The 27,809-nt window shown below is 44.3% G+C and overlaps 1 long non-coding RNA gene, 2 pseudogenes, 1 gene segment (V, D, J or C) and 1 further gene, besides 2 other annotated features; 1 reads left to right on the plus strand and 4 right to left on the minus strand.

Moving 5' to 3' along the window:
• IGH (immunoglobulin heavy locus) overlaps positions 1 to 27,809 on the minus strand; it is a 1,293,408-nt gene that overhangs the window by 607,211 nt on the left and 658,388 nt on the right.
• Positions 180 to 14,776, plus strand: LOC105370700 (uncharacterized). 2 transcript variants are annotated; one of them, XR_007064369.1, is made up of 4 exons: positions 180 to 266; positions 3,113 to 8,816; positions 11,429 to 11,504; positions 12,431 to 14,776. It is a non-coding gene; the product is annotated as an uncharacterized LOC105370700 (long non-coding RNA). The 2 variants fall into 2 exon arrangements; XR_944265.4 differs by lacking the exon at positions 180 to 266 and having other exon boundaries at positions 3,045 to 8,816.
• IGHV3-19 (immunoglobulin heavy variable 3-19 (pseudogene)) lies at positions 3,051 to 3,343 on the minus strand (annotated as a pseudogene). Its single transcript is given in 1 exon segment — positions 3,051 to 3,343. A coding segment is annotated over 1 exon segment (293 nt).
• Positions 6,688 to 7,887: an enhancer, noted in NCBI's record as "CDK7 strongly-dependent group 2 enhancer chr14:106657005-106658204 (GRCh37/hg19 assembly coordinates)". NCBI's record gives its function as "activates an origin of replication core promoter dependent on BRD2, BRD4, P300/CBP, MED14 and CDK7 cofactors, with strong dependence on CDK7, by STARR-seq in HCT116 cells {active_cell/tissue: HCT116}" and the evidence as "EXISTENCE:reporter gene assay evidence [ECO:0000049][PMID:35650434]".
• Positions 12,236 to 13,435: an enhancer, noted in NCBI's record as "BRD4-independent group 4 enhancer chr14:106662526-106663725 (GRCh37/hg19 assembly coordinates)". NCBI's record gives its function as "activates an origin of replication core promoter dependent on BRD2, P300/CBP, MED14 and CDK7 cofactors, and independent of BRD4, by STARR-seq in HCT116 cells {active_cell/tissue: HCT116}" and the evidence as "EXISTENCE:reporter gene assay evidence [ECO:0000049][PMID:35650434]".
• On the minus strand, positions 17,289 to 17,744 carry IGHV3-20 (immunoglobulin heavy variable 3-20). The segment is given in 2 exon segments: positions 17,289 to 17,595; positions 17,699 to 17,744. Coding segments are annotated over 2 exon segments (353 nt in total), but the record flags the coding sequence as incomplete, so codon positions are not given.
• On the minus strand, positions 19,139 to 19,177 carry IGHVII-20-1 (immunoglobulin heavy variable (II)-20-1 (pseudogene); annotated as a pseudogene). Its single transcript is given in 1 exon segment — positions 19,139 to 19,177. A coding segment is annotated over 1 exon segment (39 nt).

The following is a 27,809-nucleotide window of genomic DNA, read 5'->3' on the forward strand; positions in this document are numbered from 1 at the left end:
ATCTGAAATCTAGGTAGAAGCTGCACAGGCTCCTTCACTCTTGCATTCTGCATACCTGCCAGAATCCAGTTATCCCAGAACCATTTACTGAATACAGAGATTTTTTTTTTCCAATTGCTTTTGTCAGCCTTGTCAAAGATCAAAAGGTTGCAGGTGTGCAACTTTATTTCTGTTTTCAATTTTGATCTATTTTTTTTTTTCTGCAGGTCTGCTATCGTACCAGTCCAAGCTGCTTTTGTTAGCAAGACATTATGGTGTAGTTTAAGGTCAGTATCATGATGCCTCTGGCATTGTTCTTTTTGCTTAGGATTGCTTCTGCTATTCAGGGTCTTTTTTGGTTCCATATAAATTTTAGAATAGATTTTTTTCTGATTCTGTGAAGAATGATGATGATAGTTTTATGTAAATAGCATTGAATCTGTGAATTCCTTTGGGCATTATGACAATGTTTACAATATTGATTCTTCCAATCCATGAGCATGAAATGTTTCCCATTTATTTGTATCATTTATTATTTATTTCTGCTGTGCTTTATAGTTCTCCTCGTAGTGATCTTTCACCTTGTTTGTTATCTGTGTTCCCAGGCATTTCATTTTCTCTGTGGATACTGTAAGTTGGATAGGATTTTGTTCTTGATTATACTCTCAGCTTGGATGTGGTTGGCTTATAGAAATGCTGGTAATTTTTGTCCATTGATTTTGTATCCTGACACTTTACTAAAGTTGTTTATTCTAGAATTATTTTGGCAGACTTTTTAGGATTTTCTAGGTATAGAATTATATCATCGCTGAAGGTGGACGGATTGACTTCCTTTCCTATTTGGATGCTGTATTAGTCAATTCTCACACTATAAAGAAACTCCTCAGACTGGGTAATTTATAAAGACAAGTGTTTTAATTGGCTCATTTAGTATGGTGTTGACTGTGGGTTTGCTGTAGATGGCTATTATTCTGAGGTACGTTTCTTTGATGTCTAGTCTGTTGAGGGTTTTTATCATGAGTGGATGTTAGAACCTACCAGAGGCTTTCTCAGTATCTATTGACATAATCATATGGTTTTTGCTTTTATTCTGTTTACATTGTGAATCACAGTTACTGTGGATATTGAACGAGCCTTGCATCCCAGGGGTAAAGCCCACTTGACCATGATGTATTACATTTTAAAGTGCTTCTGGATTCTATTTGATAGTATTTTGTTGAGGACTTTCAGGTCTATGTTCATCAGGAATATTCATCTGATATTTTCTTTTGTCATTATGTCTCTCCTGATTTTGTGTGCCAAGAGCACACAGTAGAGAAAGGACAGTCTTTTCAATAATGGTGTAAAACTGGCATTCATATTCAAAAGAAATAAAATTAGGCCTTCTCTAACTCCATATAAAAAAATCAGCTAATATTGGACATAATACCTGAAGCCATAAACTCATAAATCACATGGAGCAAAAAAAATTCCTGCCATTAATTCGGAACTGATTTCTTTGAATTTAACAACAAAGCACAGGAAAAACTATGTGTAATTATGTATCCGACAAGAAGGTCTATCTAAATGTATAAATAACCCATATACCTCAATAGCAAATAACAAATGAACTGATAAAAAAGTGCAAAAACCTGGATAACTTTTTTCAGAAGATACATGCATGGCAAACAGAAAACGAAAAGGTTCTCAACATTCCTAATTATCAGAGGAATTCAAATGAAAAGCACAATGCGATATCACCTCACACTAGTTAATATGGTTATTATCAGAAATGTAATAGATGACAAATATTGGCAAGAATGTGAGGGAAAGGGAATACACTGTGGTAGGATTGGTTACTCGATAAGTTGAAAATAAAGCTATCATATAATCTGGTGATCCCATTTCTTATTATATATGCAAAGGAAATAAAATTACTTTGCCAAAGACGTGTTCATTGAAGATTATTAATAATAGTGTAGATTTGCAAAATAATTTAATGACTGTAAATGGATGAATGTATAAAGAAAATGTGTATACATAAATCTGTATTTTATTTGGCTTTGAAAAGAGGGAAATTCTGACATTTGCAACAACACGGATGGGCCTGGAGGACATGATGCTGAGTGGAATAAGCCAGATGCAGAAAGACAAATGCTGCATGATCTCATTTACATGTGGGATCTAAAATATTCAAGCTCTTGAAAGTAGAGAGCAGAATAGAGGGTCTCAGGACCTGGGAGGAGAGGGAAATCGGGTGATGTTTGTTAAATTGTACAGTTTCAGTTGTGCAGGTTGGATGAGTTCTGGAGATCTAACGTACAGCAATGGTCCTATAGTTAATACTGTATTATAAAAATGATTGTTGCTGAAAGGGTATATCTGAGGTGTTCTCATCAGACACTCACTCATGCAGTTAATTTAAAAAAATAATAAAATGGTAGCGCTGTGAGGTGATAGAAATACAAATTACCCTGACCATCATGAGCATTTCACAATGTGTATCTGATATGGTTTGGATTTGTGTCCTGCCCCAAATCTCATGTTGTATTATAATCCTCAATTGTGAAGGGGTGACCTGGTGGGAGGTGACTGGGTCATGGAGTGGGTCTTTCATGAATGGTTTAGAACCAACTCCTGGTGCTGTTCTCATGAAAGTGTGTGAGTTCTCACAAGGGAATCCCCTTGAGGTTACTGTCCTGAGTCTGACTGGAGAAGACTCACCAGGCACCCCTGAGCTTCCTCACGACTCTGATGCTGGTGACCATGGTTGAGGAGTTTTCATTCCCGTAGGTGGCAATATACATATTGTGCATGTGAGAATAAGTCCTCCTATCATATTACAATGATTAAAAAAATGTAGAGATGACATTGGTGGGCACAGAAATCTAAAATTAAAGAGTTTCCCTAGAGAAACTGTCAGAAGCAGAGGAAGTCCCAAATCCTGACAGGAAACAAACCCCAGCCTCCATGTGCACCTGCTCTGGGGTTGACTCTGATGAGTGGGTCTTGAGCGCCCCCTGCAGCTGATTTCCCCCAACGTTCCTGCAGGAGGTTTGTGTCTGGGCTCACACTTCCGTCCTCTCACAGTGTTTCTCACACAGTAATACACAGCCATGTCCTCGGGCCTCAGGCTGTTCATTTGCTGATACAGGAAGTTCCTGGAATTGTCTCTGGAGATGATGAATCGGCCCTTCACAGAGTCTGCATAGTGCGTCCTACTGCCATTCCAACTAACACCCGATACCCACTCCAGCCCCTTTCCTGGAGCCTGGCGGACCCAGTTCATGTCACTGTTACTGAAGGTGAATCCAGAGGCTGCACAGGAGAGTCTCAGGGACCCCCCAGGCTCTACCAAGCCTCCCCCAGACTCCACCAGCTGCACTGTTGTACCCAGGTGAGTTAAGAAAACGCCACACTTTGAGACGAATTAAGAGTCCTTTATTAAGCCGGCTGCCAAAGAGACAGCTCATGCTCAAAATTCTCTCGGCCACGAGGAAGGGGCTCGAGTAAATTTTATACCTAGGTTTAGGAAGGGGAGAGGGACTCAAATGTAATAATTTTACAGAAGTAAAAACATGCAAGAATCAAAATAATCAAAATAGTTACAGAGTGATAAACAACTTAAAAGACAAATGGTTACAAGAAGAGCAACGGTACCAGGTGCAAGGTTCTAAATCTTTTATTATAATTAGATATAGGGTCTATGCCGGACACAAACTCAAGGTTTCATGTTGTTATCTCTTGGAGAAAATTCCTGGGAACTTCATACATTGTTGGTGTGGGTACCTTATCAGTTAATTGGGCTCCTTTGAAATGCTGAGGATCTGTTTACCCAGGCCAACTCCTCACGAAAGGGGGTTGGGTGAGGAGCCCTTAGTGTCTTGTAAACTAAGGGGTCAATTGGAGTTTGTCTGGCTTTCCTAGCTAGAGAGAGTCTTATTTACATGAGAAGCAAGGTTAGGTGATTAAAGAGACAAGCAGGACAAAATTCAAAGTAACGAGTTAAAGTAAAAACACCGTTAGGCATTTCATTTCCCCACTTGTGTTTTAGGGGAATCAAGTCGTTGATTCTTCAGTTACAACAAGGGGGTTATATTGAGTTCTTAGATACATAAGTTTGACAGACGCTATACGTTGTTTTACAAAATCAAGGAACCAATTTAATATACAAGGGCCAAAAATTAAACTCAATAATATGATGATGATGGGTCCAGCTAAACCAGTGATTAAAGTAGTTAACCAGGGGTTCCAATTGAACATGCTTTGATACCAGGCTGTGTTATTTTCTCGTTCTTGTTGGCTCCTATCTAGATTTTTTTGAACTTTTTGGAGTGTATCTTTTATGACTCCAGATTGATTGGCGTAAAAGCAACAGCTTTCTCCTAGAGCTGTGCATAATCCTCCTTGAGAGAGGAACAGCAGATCTAAGCCTCGGCAGTTTTGAAGTACTACTTCAGCTAGAGACTCTACCTGGGAATGTAGTATATCTATGGCAGACTGAAGATTATTTAAATCAGCATCTACCTGTTGGGACAAAGACATTAGTCCAGTTTCTCCTCGAACTAGGGCAGCTGTACTAATAGCTGCTGACCCAGCTATGCTAAGACCGGCTAAAAGAGAAACCAGTAGTGGGGCAGCTCTGCGTAGCCTGGGATGTAATTCCGGGGGAGCAATGAGGAGTTGTCCTTCTGATCCACTGTACTCGTATACCTGGGGAAGGACATGAACTAGAACACACAAGAGGGGTTCTGATTTAGTTCCATTAAGGCAGCGAGTGAGACCTGAGGTGCAGGCCAACCAGGTATTGTTAGGTGCTTGGTAAGAGACTGAGATGCTCATGGGAGTAAGCAGAGACTGATTACAGATAGCCTGAAAAGGAGAAATAGATAAGTCATATCCAGTACTAATTAGACAAGAAGCACTTCCAGACACATCTCCTAATGTGAAAGCATGAGGTTGTGCATGACAGGATAAAGGACTACCTTTAAGTGCGACTTCTACTCCTAATCCTATATAATATGGGGGTTTTGCTTTTAAACATAGCCAACAATCTTGGGCTAGTGTAGGCTGGCTGAGGTTAAGAAAATGATGTACTCCACCAAGTATAGACATCAGACTGGGTTGGAGTTGATGTCTTTGTAGCTGGGTCTTAGGAACTGAGAATGGTGGGGGCACAGTTAAATTAACTTTGTCAGGGTGATTTTGGAACATAGGGTCACCTAGATCAGTTAAAGGTCCGATTGGCTTGGGTGGGCTCCAGGGGACCAAAATTTTCTTTTGGATGGTGAACATAGTTCCAACATCGAACCCTGGGACATAAAGTCTTAATCCCCATGACATACCATAGTACCATTGAGCTGAATTAGGTTCATGGACAATGATGTTAAGAGGGTTACAATTATTTTTAGAACACGATTTGGGACGAGAAGCACGACTTATTGACAGAGTTGGAGATCTAGTTGATCCCCCAGAGTAAGTGGCTAAAGTTACACATGCCCAATCCGGGCGGACGAACTGGTAGGTATCTCAACAGCTAGCATCAGGGTGATTTTCAGGACAGAGGTAAAAGTCAACCTTTTGGAGTCCTTTTTCAGCACCTTTGGAGCTTCCACATCTGGCTTGGCTCCCAGAGTGTCCAAATCCTGCTGCAAGGTCGACACCTCCTGCTCCCATGACTGGCAGGTCGCGATGATCTTCGTGGGTACCAGCCGGCTCCGGGAACAGTATACACAAGTCGACTGCAAAGGTGACTTCCTTGGAGGTACCAGCCTTCCAAGTAGTATTGGCGAAAACACGTCCTGTTGTGAGAGAGGTGAGGGGGAAGGAGTAGGAAGGCACAGAAGACATTACAGGCAAGGATAAACAAAAGAAGCAAATAAAAAGAGTTAATTTAACAGTTTCACCCGACTTAGGTGTAGTTTTAAGGGTCCTGATCCAGGCTTGGGGACCCATGTTTCTGTTTGGGCTTTGTTGGCCTTTTTGATGTGGGAGTGATGAATCCAAGCAGGAATTCCGTCCACCTTCAGAGCTGTTGGCGTCGTGAGGATGACGGTGTGAGGTCCCTTCCAAGCAGGAGTTAGGCCCTCTCTCTGGAACTTTTTAACAAACACCAGGTCACTGAGCTGGAATGAATGGCAGGGCCCCATCTGGTCAGGAACTGGACTGGGATGGGCTTCTCAAACAAGTGGCAGAATGATCTCTTGTACCTGTTGGAGAGACTGCAGGTACTGTAATAAATTAGCTTGTGATATTTCTGCAAAATGGGCATCTTTTAGCTTAGGCAAGATAGGTGGTGCCCGCCCATATATAATTTCAAAAGGTGAGAACCCAGCCTGATAAGGGGTGCACCTTACTCTAAGTAGGGCTAAAGGAAGGAGTTTTACCCAATTTTCACTGGTGTCTAGAATTAATTTTGTAAGAGTATTTTTTAGGGTATGGTTCATGCATTCCACCTGTCCAGAGCTCTGGGGTTGATAGGCACAATGGAGCTTCCACTGAATGTTTAATGCCTTACTGACTGATTGAGCTATGGACGAGGTGAAGGCAGGTCCATTATCAGACCCTATGGCAGCAGGCAACCCGTACCAGGGGATGATTTCATTGAGTAAGAACTTAACTACTGTGTTAGCTGTCTCGTTCTTGGTAGCAAATGCCTCAGTCCATCCGGAGAAGGTGTCTACTGATACTAAAAGGTACTTGTACACAGCCCGGTGTGGCTTTACCTCTGTAAAGTCAATTTCCCACTTTTCTCCTGGCGAGTTTCTTCGGAGACGGTGACCTGGGCTGGGTTTAGGACCTTGCTTGGCATTTACCTGGGCGCAGGCTGTGCACCAGAGAACTGCTTGATCTGTTAGGCTTTGTAGATGAGGGATCTTAAAACAGCTCCGGAGGAGCTGAGCTAATTTTGTCCCACCAAATGGGTGGTAGAATGTAGGTGACTGACTAAAGTTTCTCCAAGAGCTGGGGGTACGAAGATTCTAGAGTCAGGAAGAATCCACCAACCTTTTTGATTTTTATTTGCTCTAAGGTTTGCAGCCAGTTTTTCTTCTTCTGTTGAGTACGCGGGGTTGTCAGGCAGATCTGGCTGTGGAAAAGAAACTGCCGGTAGCAGGTTTATGGACGGAGCTGAAGACAGCGCCACTTCCCGAGCTGCTGAAACCGCTTTTGGGTTACCGCGGGCAACAGCCGTGTTTTCTTTTTGATGTCCTTTACAATGGATTACAGCCACTTGTTGAGGGAGCCACACAGCTTCAAGCAGGGCTAAAATTTCCTCTTTGTTCTTAATTATTTTTCCTTCTGACCTGAGCAACCCGCGTTCTTAGTAGATGGCTCCATGTACATGCACAGTAGCGAAAGCATACCTGCTGTCAGTATAAATGTTAATACGTTTATCTTTAACCCATCGGAGAGCTTGAGTAAGGGCAATCAATTCAGCTTTTTGTGCTGAGGTGCTTGCCGGTAAAGCCTGAACCCACAACACATCTGTCTCTGTGGTAACAGCTGCACCAGCTTTGCGTATCCCCTGTTCGAGAAAACTGCTGCCGTCGGTGAACACGGTGGCGTCCGCCTTTCTCAGGAGCACATCTTGAAGATCTGGCCTGCCAGTTTCGGTAGCTTCTAACAGCTCCTGACAGTCATGGACAGGAGTATTAGAATCTGGATCTGGGAGTAAAGTAGCAGGATTTAAACACCTTGTGGGAGAGAAAGTCAAACAAGGCTGATCCAACAGTAAACTCTGATATTGTAAAATACGAGCATTTGACATCCATTTACCTGAAGCACTTCGTAGTCAAGTCTCTACAGCATGAGGAACTGTAAGGGTTAAATTCTGGCCTAGAGTTAATTTATCAGTTTCTTGGACTAGGCTTGCTGTAGCCACTATGGCTGGCAAACAACTTGGCCATCCTGAGGCCACAGGATCCACCTTCTTAGATAAATAAGCCACTGGGCCTCTCCAAGTTCCTAAAGTCTGAGTAAGCACTCTCTTAGCAACTCCCTGGCTCTCATGGACAAACAGATGAAAAGGCTTTGAGATATTTGGGAGGGCTAAAGCCTGGGCTGCAGTTAAAGCCTTTTTCAGATTCTGAAAAGCCTGTTCCTCGGTGTCTGTCCAAATCAGTGGGCCATTACCTTTTGTAGCAGTATACAAAGGCTTTGTAATCTCTGCAAACCCCGATATCCAAAGACGACAATATCCCAGGGCTCCTAGGAATTCATGTACCTGTCTCTTGGTGGCGGGAGTGGGGATTCGCAGGATGGCTTCTTTCCGGGCACTAGTGAGTGCCTTTTTTCCTTTGTTTATCTTGTACCCCAGGTAGGACACTCTGGGAAGACAAAGCTGGGCCTTTTTGGCTGAGACTCCATACCCGAGCTCCTGAAGGAGGTAGAGCAGGTCTCTTGTGTGTTGTAGACAACCATCCATAGTTTCAGTTGTTATTAAAATGTCATCTACATATTGGAGAAGAGTACAGTTAAGGTGACTGGCTCGGAAGGGTATAAGATCTTGCTGAAGAGCCTCTCCAAAAAGGGTAGGGGAATTTTTAAAACCCTGAGGTAACTGAGTCCAAGTCAGTTGGGTAGTGTCTCCTGATCTTGGATCTGTCCATTTGAAAGCAAAAATCGGCTGGATTTTGGGGGCCAGAGGGATAGCAAAGAAAGCATCTTTCAGGTCAAGGACAGTGTATACTGTATGTTCTGGTGGGAGCAGGCTGAGTAGAGTATAGGGATTAGGAATGGTTGGGTGGACAGCAACAGTCCATTTATTAACGTCCCTTAAGTCTTGTACTGGCCAGTAATCATTTGTTCCAGGTTTCTGGACCGGCAAAAATGGCGTGTTCCAGGCCGACTGGCATGGGGTAAGTATGCCAGCTTGTAACAGTCGTTGAATGTGGGGATTAATCCCCTCTCTAGCCTGCTGACTTGTGGGGTATTGCTTTGCCTGGACCGGTATGGCAGTGGCCAAGAGTTCTATGACTACTGGCGGATGGTGTTTAGCCAGTCCGGGAGGGTTTGACTCGGCCGAAACTTGGGGGAAAAGTGTCTGTAGATCTAACAAAAGAGTATTAGTATTCTCCTCCGGTGATTACGACGGTGAAACCAGAAGGTATTCTTCTGACAGAGGGGTAGTTAGCAAGAGTTGGGCAGTGGGGGAAGTTGCATTTCCTAGTGTGAGATGAGCCTGCTGAGCTGAAAAGGAGATTGAGGCCTGTAACTTATGGAGTAGGTCCCGTCCAAGGAGAGGAATAGGACACTCTGGAACTACTAGGAAAGAGTGTGTCACTCTTTTCTGTCCCAAGTTTACTTCTCAGGTGTGTGTGACAGGATATTCTTGAATAGCTCCAGTTACCCCTTGTACAGCAATTTTTTTATTTGAGACACTGCCCAGGGGAGTCTCCAGTACGGAGTGCTCTGCCCCGGTGTCTACTAGGAAACATACAGGCTGGCCCCCCACTGTAGCAGTTACCATGGGCTCCTGGGGGCCGAGAGCAAGGGAGCCCTGGCCCCATCAATCATCAGGCTCCTCTGTTGCGGCCAGGGTGAGAACCTTTTTGTTTTCAGATTTTTCTTTTGGCAGTAACGGGCACTCCTTTTTCCAATGCCCAGTCTGTTTGCAATAGGCACATTGGTGTTTTCCTAGAGGGGCCTGTTCACCTCTTTCACTTTTCTGGTGGGAACCCGAGGTTCCTTGGCCATTTTTCTGGAATGCAGGCCTTTCCTTTCTGCCCTCTTGGATAGCTGTTACCAAGATTTTTGCTTGTCTTTTATATGCTTTATCGGCAGCTTTTTCAGCTGCCTGTGTCGCTTGTTTTTGTTTTTCAAATTCTCGGTTTTCAAAAACCTTCTGGGCTATTTCTAAAAGCTGACTGATATTCATCCCAGTAAATCCTTCCAGTTTTTGGAGTTTTCTCCTAATATCTGGGGCTGCCTGAGCCACAAATGCCAAATTAAGAGCACGGCTATTCTCGGGAGTCGCCAGGTCAAAAGGTGTGTGAATTCGATAAGCCTCCTGGAGAGGTTCTAAAAACACCCCTGGTGACTCATCAGGCCCCCGGACAACTTCAGTTGTCTCAGACAAGTTTATGGGCTTCCAAGCGGCTCCTTTAATACCCGCGAGGAGATACTGGTGAAAATCGTCCAAAGCCCTCCTTCCACCTGAGGAATCTGGGCCCCAGTTAGGCCAGGTGGAGGGAAAGACCTCCTCCTCCTCCAGGAGGTCTCTAGCTTCCTCCTCCTCCAGGAGGTCTCTAGCTTCCTCCTCCTCCAGGAGGTCTCTAGCTTCCTCCTCCGGCCCACCGGCTGATGCAAGGAAGTGCTTTCTGGCCTCTCTTCGGATATGCTCCCTCTCCTCAGAGGTAAACAGAGTTAAAAGGAGCTGTTGGCAGTCATCCCAGGTGGGTCGATGGGTCCGGAGCACGGACTCCATCAGTGAGGTCAAAGCCTGAGGCTTTTCAGAGAAGGGAGGATTATGGGTTTTCCAATTATACAAGTCAGAAGTAGAAAAAGGGACATAAACCAGGAAGGGGGCTGAGCGCTCATCAGCCGCGGGACTCGTGCCTCTCTCAGTGGGAGTAGAGGGGCTGCTTCCTCCCATGCGGTCGTAGCGGAAGGCAATGGGCGGTCACAGCCCACAGGGGACGCAGTCGAAGAGACACGGGATGGCGCCAAGGGAGCAGGCTGGTGGTAAGGCGGTGGAACTGGGTGAGGAAGACTCTCCTCTTCTTCAGAGGGAGGCAAAACAGGGGGAGCCGAACTGGCGGAGGGTTGAGGCAAAAACGCGGCCTGGCTCAGGAGGACTTTGGAGGTGGAATTGCGAATGGCACATGAACAGAGCCATGGAGGAGGATTCCTAATCAAACTTAGCCATTGATCGATATAGGGAAACTGATCAGGGTGGCCGGGAGTTCCGGTAACAACCCATCACACGGCTTGAACAATGGTAGGATTTAATGACCCTTCACAGGGCCATCCGACTCCAAACTTTGGTCATTCTAGTTCACAGAGTGTCCAGACCTTGCCTTTTCTAAGGCGGACTCCATAGTCCTCTGAGAAACCAAGAGAAAAATTTTCCAGCATACACTGGAGAGGGCTCCAACCCTTACGGGGCCAGGAGGAGGTGTTTCCCGTTTATTATTATTATTATTATTTAAAGACAATTTAGCAAAGTCTTGAGCAGAGATATCAGATCCAACACCGGCAGAGAAACTCTTTCCCTGGGGGGCTGGAGTGTCGGAAAAACAGAATTAACATGATCAGAAAGAACAGAAAAACCACAACAGCTAATACCACTTGCCACATTGCTGTAGCTTTAAGATTGAGGGAGGGGGATTGGAGGCCAGCCTGAGGTCTCCTGGGCCAGTTCGATCTAGGCGTTCTCCCTCTTCTTCTTCTTCTAGACCTATATCCTAAGTGTTTTTTATGTCTCCACGATTCAAAGGCAAACAGTTCAAATTCAGCTTTTTCCTTTAAGGGTTCAAGGAGTGAGAGCAGAGCGAAGTCTTGGAGACGCTGAACTTGCTGTTGCACTGGAAAACGAGATGTGCGGGGTAAGGGGCAGGGACGAGGGGGAAAAGGACCACTCGGATCGTCCTTAAGATGAGAAAGTAGCCACAGTGGAACAGAATAGGAGTCTAAACGAAGTAAAGCATGACGGGCGTAGGTTTCTTTACACAAGGTCCTATTTAAGGGCGCAGGAAAAGTTACAGAATGACAGAAGAGGTGAGCAAGAAGGTCTGCAGGGTGGCTGTTTTGAACCCACCACCAGTTCAGTTTAGAAGGGGACCAATCACTAGGACGTGGGGTATGACAATCTAAATACCCGCAACCTTCATGGTGCCAGAAATTCCAATCAGGTGAATGTTCTCCACACTCTTTTCCGTAACAACAGCTTACTTGTTTATGACAGAAAAGACAAGACTGTGGTGGCCAGTCTAAATGATTGATTAGAAATTTAACCTCTTGTGACAAAAAATCAGCACTAAGGACCTTGAAGAAATTTTTACCCAGACCTCGTGGACTATATCGATGTCCTGACATGTAACACCTTGACAACTATTAAACAAGACAATAGACACCGAACAAAACAATAAACATAAAACAAACAATTGACCCTAGGGCATGTAAACAATGATGACAGTTTTCCTGTTTTACCTTCTCTATTAGACAGACAAGGGAAGGGGGTCCCGTGATGGGATCATTTAGATGCCTGCCTGGCCACTCCCCGTGAGGGGACTTGGGTTCCTCTTAGCATTGGCAGGCCAGTATAAACCCCCAGCTCGGATCGAGCTATGCCCGATGCTGCCTTAAGCCTTATGAGGTCACCACAGAACGGCAGGTGAGGGCCCACTCAAACTCCGTAGCTTTCGCCATGGAGCTACAAACTGGAAGACAAACGCAAGCCTTTGTCCTCCCACATTCACACACCATTTACACAGAGTTTATAACAGGTTTTTTTTTTTTCCCTTTCCCGGAGATTTCCAAAAGAAGGATGGAAGATAGAAGAGAGAGAGAGAGGTCTGCCAGAAACCAAGGCTTAGCTCTCCAGCGTCCTGGGTCTTGAGCTAAGTCAAGGGAGGGTCCTGGTCAGGACCACTTCCCACCCAAACCAAGATACGAAGGCGCCTACCGGAAAACGAAGGCTCAACCCACTAGCATCCTAGAGTAATGGGCTGAGTCAAAAGAGGGACGCCCTCGTCAGGGCCGCTCCCCTCTCACCGGAAACGAAGTCACATCCGACCTACCTGACCCCGGGGTCAGAAGCTGAGGACTCAGCGCCCTCGTCAGGGCCGCTCCCCTCTCACCGGAAACGAAGTCACATCCGACCTACCTGACCCCGGGGTCAGAAGCTGAGGACTCAGTGCCCTCGTCAGGGCCGCTCCCCTCTCACCGGAAACGAAGTCACATCCGACCTACCTGACCCCGGGGTCAGAAGCTGAGGACTCAGCGCCCTCGTCAGGGCCGCTCCCCTCTCACCGGAAACGAAGTCACATCCGACCTACCTGACCCCGGGGTCAGAAGCTGAGGACTCAGATGTTGACTTTTAGGGCGCTGACACAGTGGTCGATCCGCTCTCCTCTGGAAGGCGGTCACTCTTTGCAGACCTGAAAATTCTTTCCTCAGGTGGTGTCCCTCCTCCGAGCTGGCCATCCTTCCGGGGGAGCCCGGAGCGAGACCGGCTCTCGCCCAGTGGTGTTAATATCTCGCTGCGGCCTCCAAAAATGTTGTACCCAGGCGAGTTAGAGAAAACGCCACACTTTGAGACGAATTAAGAGTCCTTTATTAAGCCAGCGGCCAAAGAGACGGCTAATGCTCAAAATTCTCTGGGCCCCGAGGAAGGGGCTTGATTAACTTTCATACCTAGGTTTAGGAAGGGGAGGGGAACTCAAGTGCAATAATTCTACGGAAGTAAAAACATGCAAGAATCAAAAGAAGCAAAATGGTTACAGAGAGATAAACAATTTAAAAGACAAATGGTTACAAAAAGAGCAACAGTACCAGGTGCAGGGCTCTAAATCTTTCATTATAATTAGATATAGGGGCTATGCCGGGCATGAACTCAAGGCTTTATGTTGTTATCTCCTTGAGAAAAATCCTGGGAACTTCATACATTGTTGGTGCTAGTACCTTATCAGTTAACTGGGCTCCTTTGAAATGCTGAGAATCTGTTTACACAGGTTAACTCCTTACGGAAGGGGGTTGGGTGAGGAGCCCTTAGTGTCTTGTAAATTAAGGGGTCAATTGGAGTTTGTCCAGCTTTCCCAGCTAGAGAGAGTCTTACTTACATGAGAAGCAAGGCTAGGTGATTAAAGAGACAAACAGGGAAGATTCAAAGTAGTGAGTTAGAGTGAAAACAAGGTTAGGCATTTCAACTGACCACAATACTCAGACAACAGCTCCCCCGCTACCCAGGAAAAAAAAATAGCTGGCATTCACTACAAAGCACTATGATTAAATGTGTACTACAGGTCCCAAGGCTGCAGACAACCACAGACACTGTTATCTGGCATAGCATTTTAAGGGCTCAGAGTTCTCATCAGGAGGTAACTGAGAGCCATAAATGAACAATGTTTTTCAGGAATGTGCAGGGTTTAAACAATCCAGGTCTGCTGAGTTAACCTTCTACTGTACACAAATCCAGATTAGAGGGCAGCAGGGACGTTCAATGGATGGCCAGACTCAGGAGAGAGGGTAGAGATGGTCAGGTTAGGACCCCAAGGAGCAGCCTGGGAGACTGTAGGAGTGAAACTGAGAACCTCCTGAGGGGCCTATGGGTGTACATAGCTGTGAGTTTAACTAAAGCTGTTGGGTTTCCCAGGAGCCCAAGAAAATGGTACTACAGTGAAGGGTGTGGGGAAGTGGCCATAAACGTCAGTGGGTGTGTGCAGGAGGGGAAGGGAGCCAATGGAGTTAAGAAAGAGGAAAGAGACCAAGGGATATGGGCATTCCTTACAGAAGCAGGTTCAGAAATAAGCTTTCAGATGCCTCTTGCCTGGACTTCCATCAATATGTCAAATATAAATTTGAGGTATGTTTCCCATCTGACAAATACCACAGAGTGAGGAAAGAGCTGGAGGCGTTGCTAGGAGAGAACACCCTGGACGTGACCACAGCCCCTTTTGTCCTCACACTGCCCTGCCTGTCCTCTATCCTCACAGCGTGGAGGTTCTCATCTTTGCCCTGCCTGTCCTCTATCCTCACAGCGTGGAGGTTCTCATCTTTGTCCTGTGGTGGGAAAAACATCTGGTTCTTGGAACACTAAGAAGACCTCCAGAATCATGTAGGTGATTACGTCTACTATAAATCTTGCATTTCCAAACAAGTTCTCTATCTACTTTTCATCAATGTGTTCGTGAAGCTTCAGGGTAAATGAAATAAGGCAGTCACTAAATAGTGAAAAAAGTCACCTATTTACTCATGTTCAGATGACTCCCGGGTTTCAGAATCAAAGAATTGGACAGAGAAGCACAACCGTTGGTGCCCAGGACTTCTGGACACCACACATGGAAACTGAAATTCACAAAACACCCCTTATAGTAAAATGGAGATCCTCGCTTTCATGCAATGTTTGAGGTCCTTTGATCAATTAGGAAATACTAAAGGTTGATTTGTTAAAGAAAAAATGTATATATGAAGACACTTGTTCCAGCACAGTAAGGAAGACTTCATCCAGGGCCCTCATGATAGGTGTAGGGACCAGGGCAGTGGGATTTTGCAGTGGGGGAGAGATTCAGCAGAACTCCAAATACAGAATGAGAACGTGAGGATTTATAGGCATACAGCAGGGTTGGGGCACAGGATGGAAAATCACCAAGAAGAAACATCAGGAGTGAGGTAAATCCTGCTTAGGGCAGCCTGCCAGGATTTTTGTTGAAGTTAGACCAGGGTGATCAGATGTCACCCAAGTTATGGTGAAGGACAAGGAAACTGATCAGATATCCAGGAAAATCAGACACTCAGTATGGGGAAAACTGGCTAAATCAACACAACAGAATTCCAGGTAAAACTGAATTTTAAAGGAAAGTGCAGAGAGACAGGCTTAGGATAAGATTCAGGAGCCTCCTAACTTCTCGTGAAGCAAATTAGCTTCATCAGGTTGGGACACATAAATGGTAGCACTTTCTGCTGACCAAACTCATGACTAAATGAAATGAGAACAGTACATCACAAAAATGTAAACTGAACCATATTCAGAATTTCTGAAGATGATGAGTGGCAGAATGAGCTGAGGTGTGATAGATCAGGGGGTCTCCTAATTCTGAATCCTGCAATTAGTTCTAAGCAGCATTCACTGACAACAGCACAGCTCGAGATTCCCACATGCACAAACACCTGACTCCATGAATCTGCAGCCGGGGGTCTCTGCAGGCTCTGAGGTGCACAGGACATATCCCACCTCAGATTCAGCCTCAGGTAATTATCTGCTGTTCCCGTGGGGAGGAGAGGAACAGTGTGGAAGGAGGGTCAGCTGTACTCCACTCAGGATCTCTGTACATGGAGGAAAACAATGAAAGTGGGGAACACATGTCCTCAACTTATGTTACACTTCCACATGAGAAAGGCAACACCATGCCAGGACATTCTGCAGAATCAAAGAATAAAGCTCTCAAGGTAAATGTAGGAATCACCATTGTTTACAGACTGTATGTTTATTTCTATGTCATCCACAGAAATTAAGTAAAAGTTGTGTTCTGTATGGAACCCACATCATATGGGTTCTGAGTCAGGTCTTCCCTCCCTCCACCTGCAGGGAGCACAGTGCACCTGAGCCATGCGCCTGGGGCTGCACTCTGATGTGCATGCCACGGCTGGTGCTGGGGCCACGTCCTGTGCTCCACTCTCAGGAGAACAATGAGCTCCGCGCTGATCTGAGTAGAGCCACTGCTGGGAGTCACGGGGGTCCCCGATGGGAAACTTTGACATGACTCAGATACAGTGACTTGCTGGACCTTCCTAGAACAGCACAGTTTAAGGAAGTTCCACTGAGTTATCCTCCCTCTCTCCTTCACTCAGGGACCAACTTCCCTCATATGCCTTCAGCTTCCCCAGCCTCCTTCCACCCGCTCTGCGTTTCCTCTCAAAAGCGTGGACCGGTTCCTTAGGAAACTGTACATAAACCTAATCCATTCATAGAATGTGCTTCTCCGAAGACCAACACTAACACATGTGTTGGCAAAGCTGTTCATAATACCAGCCAGATTCTACTGACAAATATATGATATGAACTGACCACGGCAATCACCAGTTTTATGTGTCTCCTTGGCTAGAACATAGTCTCAATTATTAAATGAGACTCGAATCTAGGTGTTGCTCTGATGATTTCATATAGGTGTTATTCAAGCCCACCATTAATTTTCTCAAGCTAGGAAGATAGTAGTAGTTAACCTGGGCGTGCCTGATTTAATTCTAGCAGAACAGAAGACAACAAAATTTCCTGATGGATGGCAGGTGTGCCTCTTTCCAAGAATTCCAGCCTGTCGTTCCTGATGGCCAGCCATAGACATGCCTAGACAGAACACACAATTGCTGTCACCAAGATCTCTCCACCCACTGGAATGTCCACACTAAGCTTCCTCAAAGTCACAGGTGAGGAAGGTGACACAGATAGTTTGAGCAGATACAGATCACAAATCTAGGCAGGGTTCTGGGGAAACTGTTAGATGGAGAAACAGCTAAGTCTCTGAAAGGAAACCAGCCCTTAACCTCCCTGGGCACCTGGTCCCTGAGTTTACTGTGTTCTTAATGTGTCCTGAGCGCCCTCTGCAGCCCAGGCCCCTCCTGTCTTCCTGCAGGGACGTTTGTGTCTGGGCTCTCACTGGCTTCCCCTCACTGTGTCTCTCGCACAGTGATACAAGGCCGTGTCCTCGGCTCTCAGACTGTTCATTTGCAGATACAGGGAGTTCTTGGCGTTGTCTCTGGAGATGGTGAATCGGCCCTTCACAGAGTCTGCATAACCTGTGCTACCACCATTCCAATTAATACCAGAGACCCACTCCAGCCCCTTCCCTGGAGCTTGGCGGACCCAGCTCATGCCATAATCATCAAAGGTGAATCCAGAGGCTGCAAAGGAGAGTCTCAGGGACCCCCCAGGCCGTACCACACCTCCCCCAGACTCCACCAGCTGCACCTCACACTGGACACCTGCAAACACAGAGACACCCTGGTCAGAAACTGCCACACAAATCCACTGTTTCTCTCACTCGTGTTCACTCACACTCAACATCTCTATTGATCCATGAATCACCTTTTAAAATAGCAACAAGGAAAACCCAGCTCAGCCCAAACTCCATGGCGAGTCCTCTGTGTTCAGTGCTGATCACTGAATGGAAACACGTGGGAATCTCAGGGCTGGGGCTCCTCTCCCAGAGCTGCAGGGTCAGGGCTGGGCTGGTTTTCATCGGCAGAGGGAGGACCCCATTTGCATGTCTCCTACTATATAGTGACTTCTGGAAGGGATGCCTCAGAGTAGGCTGTGTCCCAGAGTGGATGCGAGTGATTATACTTCATAAATAATTAATTCTCATTAGCATTTCTACTTATAGATGCACATGAATTATGTTCTGTGGGAGTCAAAGTTTCCTTCATTTACAGATGTGAAGGTAAACCCCCAAGCACGGAAGGGCCATGTGACATGTCTAAGAGCTCACATCTGGTAAAAGCCAGTCTCACTGTCTGGCCCGTGTTTCTCACAGCTGGATCTGACTGCTCCCTAAATTAACTCTAGGACAGAGCTAGAAATTTCGAGTGAGGGTTACAAAACCCTCTTCTTATAAAGATATCATGATATTCTTTGGCTGTATCTTAGTGTTTTTCTAAGTAACATAGAAAAACTGAGGGTTAACTCACGTGTGGAGTCAGGAGTTCATGACTTTTCTTGTATTATTTTTATTTCTCTCTTCATTTTTTTTACCAAATTATACACTTTTATTTGTAATAGTTTTAATGAGATAATATTGACAAATAATCTTCACACAATATGTTCACCGTTTGAAAAATATTGACCTAATCACCATTCATAGAGAAAACAAATCAATCCGTTTCACGATTTTCTTTTTCTCCTGCAATTTCACCTTCCAACGCCTTCCCTCCTCTTACCAGGTAGAAGTCATTTAGGGATCTTTTTTACATAACAGCGTGAACAACAGCTAAACTGGTTAAGTTCCAAATGAATCAATTTTTTTTAACACATCAGGTAATTAAAGTTATAGCAACCAGCGTGTTTGTCAGTGTGTGTGAGAGAGAGAAAGAGGGAGGAAATGAGACTGAAAAAGAAAGTGATTCTACATAATTATTGATTTATAAGGTCCTCAAATGCAGGGACTTATTCCTGATGAACAGGGTCCACATAGGTTGAAGAGGGTAACTTGATGCACCCACATATGGCTATAGATTTATAATATCAATGTTATTTTCTAAACTCATAAGTACTCATACACATTAGAATAGATGTAGTGGAGGGTGTCCAGTGGCGCAATGAGAAGGTGACACTAAACCCAGTCTCCAGGGCCTTTCCCCGCCTGCTGCACCTGCCCTGAGGCTGAGCCTTGAGCCTGCCTGACCACTGAGCCCACAATGGTCCTGAGCCCCCATGAAGTGCCAAGCGCCCCCTGGGTTTCCCTGCTGGTTCCTGAGTGCCCACCTCTGTCCTCAGCACCCCATGCTGTCCTGTGAACCCGCATAGGGAGGTTTGTGTCTGGGCTCACACTGATGTCCCCTCACTGTGTCTTTTGCTTAAAAATACATGGTTGTGGCTGAGCGCGGTGGCTCACGCCTGTAATCCCGGCACTTTGGGAGGCTGAGGCGGGTGGATCACGAAGTCAAGAGTTCAAGAACAGCCTGGCCAACATAGTGAAACCCTGTCTCTACTAAAAATACAAATATTAGCTGGGCGTGGTAGTGAGTGCCTGTAGTCTCAGCTACTAGGGAGGCTGAGGCAGGAGAATCACTTGAACTCAGGAGGCAGAGATTGCAGTGAGCTGAGATCGCACCACTGCACTCCAGCCTGGGTGACACAGCGAGACTCTGTCTAAAAACAAAGCAAAACAAAACTAAACAACAACAACAAAAAACATGGTTATTTGCTTGTTGCTCATGTAGCTCAGCCATAGGAAGAGCTGTTTTTTGGACATAGATCTGGAGGTGGTGACTGGACTCTTGAGGAGTGGGTTGGAATTTTTGCTGCCTTCATGACCTGTGCACCCAACCCACTCCAGTCCCTCCCCTGAATCCAGCTCCATCAGGAAGCACTGGTTGTGATGAGGAATCCAGCATTTACCTGAACTGTTATTGTCATTGATATGCTAAACAAAATGTGGCACTCATTTTTATTGTGTTGAGATACACATAACATAAAACTTACCATTTCAGCCCTTGGTAAGTGTATGGGTCAGTGATACTTTACACATTCACAATGCTGTGCAACCATTTCCACTATTTGGTTTGGGAACATTTTCATCACAGAAAAGGAAACCTCACCTCCATTAAGCGGTCACTCTGTGTTTCCCTTCCCCTGACCTCCTGTGATCTGGGATTTTCCTGCTCTGCGTGCTTCGTGTCAATGGGACAATTAGGGATGTAGACTTCCGTGTCTCCCTCAGTTCAGTCACCCAATGTTTTCAAGGCTCATCCAAGTTGCAGCCTATGTCAGTGCTTCACTCCTCTTTAAAGCTGCATTACAGACACACAGACACACCGCGGCATCTTCATCCCTGTGGGTTAGAGACACACAGACACACCGCGGCGCCTTCATCCCTGTGGGTTAGAGACACACAGACACACCGCGGCGTCTTCATCTCTGTGGGTTACAGACACACAGACACACCGCGGCGTCTTCATCTCTGTGGGTTACAGACACACAGACACACCGTGGCGTCTTCATCCCTGTGGGTTATAGACACATAGACACGCCGCAGCGTCTTCATCCCTGTGGGTTAGAGACACACAGACACACCGCGGCGTCTTCATCCCTGTGGCAGTCGATGGGCACTTGAGTTGTATTCTCCATTCAACTACTGTAAGTGGTGACACCAGGTACACTTGTGTATGAGATTTTCAGTGAAGACCATTTTCCAAAGTTGCTGTCCCATTTCAATACCAACATGCAAGCCATGACCATTCCAAATTCAGTATGTCTATACCTACAAGTGATTATGTTTTTCTATTTAGTTTTGAATACTGGCTTTCTCCGTGTGTGCAAGTCAGTAATCTATATGGAACTTAAATCAGCAGCATAAATCAGATAACCCCATTAAAAATGGGGAAGGGACGTGCACAGAAACTTTTCAAATACAGACATAGAAGTGGCCAACTAACATACAAAAATACTCAGCATCCTCAATCATCAGATAAGTGCAAATCAAAACCCAATCACATACTATCTAACACATGTCAGAATTGCTATCACTAAAAGATCAGAAATTAACAGATGCAGGCAAGGCTATAGAGAAAAGCGCCACTTACATACTTTTGGTGAAAATGTAACTTGGCCAAAGCACTGTGGAAATCGATCTAGAGATTTCTCAAATAACTTAGAACAGACCTACAATTCCCCTCAGCAATCCCATTACTGGGTATATGCCCAAAAGAAAACAAATTATTGTAACAAAAAAACACATCCACTCACGTGTGTATCACTGTGCAATTCACAGTACCATAGACATGGAATCAACCTAAATGTCCATCCGTTATAGACTGGATAAAGAAAACGTGGTTCTTATACACAGTGGAATACTATGCAGCTATAAAAAAGAATGAAATCACGCTTATTTGCAGCTACTTGAATGCAGCTGGGGTCAAAAATTCAAAGCTAACTGACATAGAAACAGATGATAAGAGTCGATGGAAGAGGAAATGAACATTTTGGGTGTTGCTCTGTGTACAAGTAAGAAAAGAAATCCCCTGGTGCATGAACTCTTGAAACACAAAAGCCTGGAGACACTCATGTCCTGACTTCCATTACATTAGGTTGTGTGCTTTGTCTCATTTTCATTCAGTTAAAATAGCTTTCCTTTACTGATGGCCAACATAGCCACACTCTGTAATCATCTAGAGACGTTATGATAAAAATAACAATTCTGAACATTAGAACAAATGCTAACTTTTAGGTCAAAGTTAGTGTGGATTCAGTGTGATAGGAGACATGGCTGAATAGCAGCAGTGTGCTCACAGTAATTTTATCTAAATTATGAAAATTTGTTTACATCTTTTAGATTAGATTCCCATTGAAATCCTTGATCTAATATTATCTCTGATGCATTATACATCAGTAATGAAATGAGGTTATGCACTCAATTGAGTAGAGCAAACTTTCATTCAGAATTTGTTCCTCTATGTGATGTCAAGTCAGCCCGGATGGCAGAAGTTATTGCAGTCAACAGAGCTCATCAATAAGCCAAAGACAAGGATTAAACACGTGTTCTAGAGGAGTGCCTGACTTTGGGATGCTCTTCACACAAAGAAATTTCTCCCACCTTCTGGAACATGTGAAAATGCACAACAAAATAACACATTTTAGATGCAGTCCTGCATTTTAGAGACCTGACTAATGTAACTTGGAAAGTAAAAACCTGAAGGAAAATGACATAGCATACCAACTGAAAGTATACATATTGTAGTGGGTCATCACACCAAGCAAGCAGTCTTATCAGTCAGGGGTTTATAATATTATCTAAATATGGAAGGCATTAGCATTATGTATACAACATAGCATCCATCCCATCCACAATCTTCTGAAAATGTTGAAGAAAATTGTCATCCTTAAACTAAAATTGTCCAAACCTTAAGAAAATCTTGAACTTCCTTGGCCAAAGATTCTCTCCCTAGCAAGAGAGCCTTATAGTTAATCCCCTCAGGGAGACATCAGTTATTAGCCTATTATTTGGTAGCTGGAAGGCCCATACATTTAGAGATTTACCCACAATGCTCACCTCTGTCCTATTACATGCATGCATGACAAAGTGTTGAAAGTGATGACTGCATTTTACCCACACTATTCATCAACAGATTAAACCATCATTTCCCTACATCTTTTCAATAGCCTCTAATAACATTAAAGCAGGGAATTATATCTATTGTAAGAAACATCAGGGTAGAATATTGCTCTTGAACCACTTTGGAAGGAATTTTATCAGGTACTTTTAACCACAACACAGCAGTGAAATTGCAGAAAGTCAATAGTTGGGTTCATATTTATAAACTGTAACCTAAAAATAAATCCCTAAAACCCACGACTGATTAAATAGTCCATCTCTTGGCCTAGGGAACCCCGTAAAAATCCAAAAACTGTTTCCAACCATGTCTAAACAAGAGATCAGACACGCCTCGTTATACCTTCTTCCCTTTGTGGTTTAGACGCAGCAATGGCCAACACTTATGTTAAAATAGAAATCATAAGACTGACAGAACAGTGGCAGTAAGATGTCAAATTATAAACAAGACCTAAGGCCTTGCTAGACGAGGATTTTGCCACTCACTTCTACACTTAAAAGATAAACTATGTTCTAACTGCCAATAGGTTATTCGTTTTCTCTGGTGGCTCAGTAAGCACTGGCACTGAGACAAGCACTATGAAGACAATTGCAGCCCATCCCTGCTGAACTGACCCCCTGTTCCACAAGCCATAACCCCAGCTTTGATTGAACATTTGATATCAGGACCTTTCTCCTGATCAGAGACCGCTGACCATGGCCTGGCTCTGGCTGTTTACAGAGGCTGCACCCTGAGTGCCTTTGTGTCTCTGCTTCTGCTGTTTGCACATAGGGCCTGACTGTAATGAATTTAAATGCTAAGTCACCACTGGCAATTGAACAGGACTCACATGTTAAATGCATGTGTGTTCAGTATGCATGTGTCAGCACCACCTCCATGAACATCAGTAGCCTCTCTGTAACCTGTTGACTAAGTCTGTTTAGCCAAACAGTTCAGCATAAATCTTCTGCCCAACTCCTTCTTCTTGGGAGTGTCTGTCTCTCATCTTTACCAAAACTATGCTTTCCAGCATATGGGATGGCTGTAACCCTTGATAAAAATATAGTCTCGGTTTCCTAATTTGTAGATTGTGGTATTTTTTAATATTTATTATAACTGAATATTAAATTCAGAACTTCATCTAATTATTAGACTACTTTAGTAAAGTATGACAAACTGTGGATATCCTATAAGGATTTTTATATACCCTATAAGGGCCTGTGATAGTTTGAAGCAGGAAGCTGACCTGAGACCTTCAGAATAAACTGATGACAGTGGATAATGAAAAGGCCCCACCCAGGACATTGATTCAGCACCACTGTCTGTCTCATTCCTTCTTCTCTTTCTTTTTATTATGTGCTTACCATAATAAAAATTTTTATTTTCTTTATTTCTGTTTGCTTTTCACACACAGTGGACCCTCATCTCTCTTTTTCACTCATTTTCTTAAGCTGCTAGGGAGAATAAAGTGTCAGGTCCTATTTTGGTGCTTGCTGCTGATGAATTAAGGTTTATTCTTCTTCTCCCTTGTCCCCCACATATGGGAAATCTAGTCAGAAATCGTAGAAGCTCCCTCATCTGATGCCAATGTGAGGTTTAAATCACACAAGCTCCTTCTCCTGAGTATAAATGACCCCCCGACCCCACCACCAAATCATTATAAAGCCCTAAGCCAGCCTCCTTTCCTGTTCCATTGAGGAAATTCCAGTTTGGAATTTCTTGAGAGGCCTGTGCTGCTCTCAGCAGACAATAGTAGAGTTGGTAAATCTTTTCATAATCACCTGAGGTGTGAGTGTGGCACTATCAGACTTGACACATCACACTAATCATGGATGAGGTCTCTCTTCTTTTGAACGTGGTCACCTACAATTGGAACTATGGGCTTGAAGTCCTGACAGTGACCACCACGGGGCCTTTCTTCTCTTGCACTGGATGCTAACTCCCTCTGCCCCAGTGCCCAGCATGCCCTTTATCCTGCCTGCTGCTCACTGACCCTTGGAGTTCTGTTGAGCTGGCGGCAGTGTTGAGTTAAACACCGCACCTTTAATAGGTTTAGCTGATTAAATTCAGAAGCATTGATAATTTATTCACATTGAGAAACCGGAATAAGTGACTGTAGGTGACTCTGCCTTTGGTGCATGTGAGAAAATTTTTCTCTTGTTACGACAAATGTTTCTTCTTCAGGAAGAATAGGAAGAACAGGATAAGGAATCCAGAGAAGTGCCCCAGAGGAAACTGTTTTATGGAGAGGAAGCCACAGGGCTGACGGGAAACCAGACCTTAACCCCCGTCTGCACCTGCCCTGAGGCTGGCTCTTGTGCTCAGTGGGTCCTGAGCGCCCCCGGGTGGTCCTGTTCCCCCTTCAGGGAGGCTTGTTTCTGGGCTCACACTGACATTTTTTCTAACTGTGTTCCCCAAAATGGAGGCAGAGTAAATGGTGAATCCATGCATCTCAGAGAACACAGAACAACAGAATAACACCCCCTGCTTCCCCCACACACATTTAGGTAAATCTTATTAAAACTGCTGAAAAGCAAAGACAAATAGAAATATATGCAGGCAAGTGGAGGTGAGTAGAGGGGGCATTCCTTCCAAAAGAACAGAAAAGATGATGATAGCATTCTTCTGGTTAAAACCTCACAAGCAAGAGGAAAGTTGATGGTATCTGTAAAGTGTTGGAAGAAATGTCAACTAATTATTTTATAACCCATGGATGTTCGCTAAAAAGTGAAAAAAAAAAACAGTTCTATTTCTCTTTAACAGCATGAGGGGCTCAATGAATCCATGCCCTCATGAGACCAGTGAAAATTATTTTGAAAAAATTACAGGGTTTGGAAAGGATCTAACAGCATAAAGCAAGTGAAGAAATATTTATTTAAGAAAATATAGAAAACTCAGTAAGGCCAGTCATCGTATTTGATCTAAGGTGCTCTTCCTTCCTTCCACATCCCAGCTCAGCATGATGTAAACTCCACTGCGGACAGATGCAGCCAAGAAGACAGGGCACCTTCTACCAACTCCCACCAGAGGAAACTCTTCCCCAGGGGCCAGTACGTTGGCCCTCTGACCCTGCCCACAGCACATGATGCTGAGGTTCAGTGCTGGACAAGAGCTACTGAGAGCCAGAGACTCACTCCTTCCATAGAGCCCCACTCATGGATGGAGGCTCTGCCCTGGGTCCAGCGCCACTGGGAACATTGGGTCTCTGGTTCCTAGCTCTGTCCTATGGCAGAGGTTCTGCCCCACCATAACCGAAGTGCTGAGAAGGTGGGAAGCTCCTGCCCGACCCTCCACTGAGCGCTCAGCTCCTAGGCTGAGGAATAAAACAGCTCAACTTTGTCTACACCTGCAGAACCTTGTTTAGGAGCTCTGTCCCAGGAGAGAGGGGGCAATGAAATTCAGTCATAAAATATGATCTTAATAAGTCCTAAACATCCTAACTTCAGTAACAACAGAATGTGGAAAAATTGAAAGCCTGCCAGTGCTCTCAAAAACAGTGGAGGGTGTGGTGGAAGGCCCTTGGAAGGAGCTGGGTGGATGCATGGGAGATGCAGGCTACACTGCAGGGCTGCTGGCTTGCAGGAGAGAACCAAGGACATGGAAGAGCTGGGAAAAGTTCTCTTGTGGTTGAAACAAATGCCAGACACTCTTCAGTGGAGCCCATGTTTGTTTGGTCAGTCTGTGAAGTAATTCAAACCTCAGTGCATGGTTGAAAATAGTAGAATTTTCCATCTGCAAGTGGCAGAGCTCAACATCTGGGTCTGGTCAGGAAAGAGACAAAGAAAGCCCAGCCCAAACCACTGACACCTGAGGATGACCGTGCTGCTTACAGCTGTGTCCCTTTGATATTCGAGACTGGCTTCTCTCACTTAGCGTAATGCCTGGAGTTCACCTGTAATGGTTTGTGAATCGATCATTTGATATTTTTTATTGCTGATGGTATTCAATTTATAGTTGCTTCCTAGTTTTTTCACCTATTCAGATTTTGAGATATTTATGTTATTTTTAGTTTCTAACACACACACACGCAATATCTTGAATATTTGAATAGAGGTTTTGTGTGAATATAAGATTATATTTCTCTGAAGCAAAATTCAAGAGTGGGATATTTAGGTCATGTGTTAAGGGCATGTTTGATTGCAGAAAAAACTAAAAATTATCTTCCAGAGTAGCTGTTTCATTTTGCAGTCCCATTAACAATGTCGTAGACACTAGGAACTTGGTATGCTCATCAGCATTGGTATTACCTGTATTTCTTCTTAATTTCAGCCATTCTAAAAAGTGTATAGTGGTTTCTCATTGTGGGCTTGATTTGAATTCCTTTAATGGAAAATCCTGTTAAGAGCCTGTTTATATGCTTATGTCATCTGCACATCTTATTTGATGAAATGTCTGCACAAACCTTTGCCTATTTTATCCATGGGTTGTTTCTTTCTTTCTTTCTTTTTTTTTTTTTCACAGTTGAGTCCTGAGAGTTCTTATTATAATTAAATTGGTGGTTATCTGATTTGAAAATAGTTTCCCATCTGAAACTTGACATTCATGTTCTTATAGTTACTTGAGTAGAAAATGTCTTTAAATTTAATGAGTTTCAACTGATAGTAATTTCATTTATTGATCATTTTTTACATTTTATTTTATTTTATTTGAGATGGAGTCTTGCTCTGTCGCCCAGGCTAGAGTGCAGTGGCATGATCTCGGCTCATTGCAACCTCCGCCTCCTGGGTTCAAGCAATTCTCCTGCCTCAGCCTCCCGAGTAGCTGGGATTACAGGTGCCTGCCACCGCATCTGGTCAATTTTTGTGTTTTTAGTAGATGGGGTTTCACCATGTTGGCCAGGCTGGTCTGAAACTCCCGACCTCATGATCCACCTGCTTCGACCTCCCAAAGTGCTGGGATTACAAGCGTGAGCCACCACGCCTGGTCTAAATTTTAACTTTAAGATCATTGGTCAACTGTTAATTATTTTATATTTTTAATTTTTTTGTTTGTACATTTATTTATATAAATTTAAAGGCTATGAGTGCAACTTTTGCACATGGATATATTCCACAGTGGTCTTGGCTTTTAGTGTACTCTCACCCAAATAATGTACATTGTACCCACTAGGTAATGTCTCCTCATGCTCCCACCTTCCACCTCCCATCCTTCTAAGTCTCCGGTGTCCATCATTTCTCTCTCCATATCCTTGTGGACACGTTGTTACCTTCCACTTATAAATAATAATGTGTGACATGTGACTCTCTGTTTGTGAGTTAGTTCACTAATTATGTTGTTCCCAGTTCTAGGCATCTTGCTGCAAAAGACAGTTTCATTTATTATTGTGGTTGACTAGTATTGAATTGTGTATACGTGCTATGTTCTTTTATAAAATCATCTGTTGGTGGACA

Source organism: Homo sapiens, chromosome 14 (assembly GCF_000001405.40).
Source record: "Homo sapiens chromosome 14, GRCh38.p14 Primary Assembly".
Taxonomy (NCBI): Eukaryota; Metazoa; Chordata; class Mammalia; order Primates; family Hominidae; genus Homo; species Homo sapiens.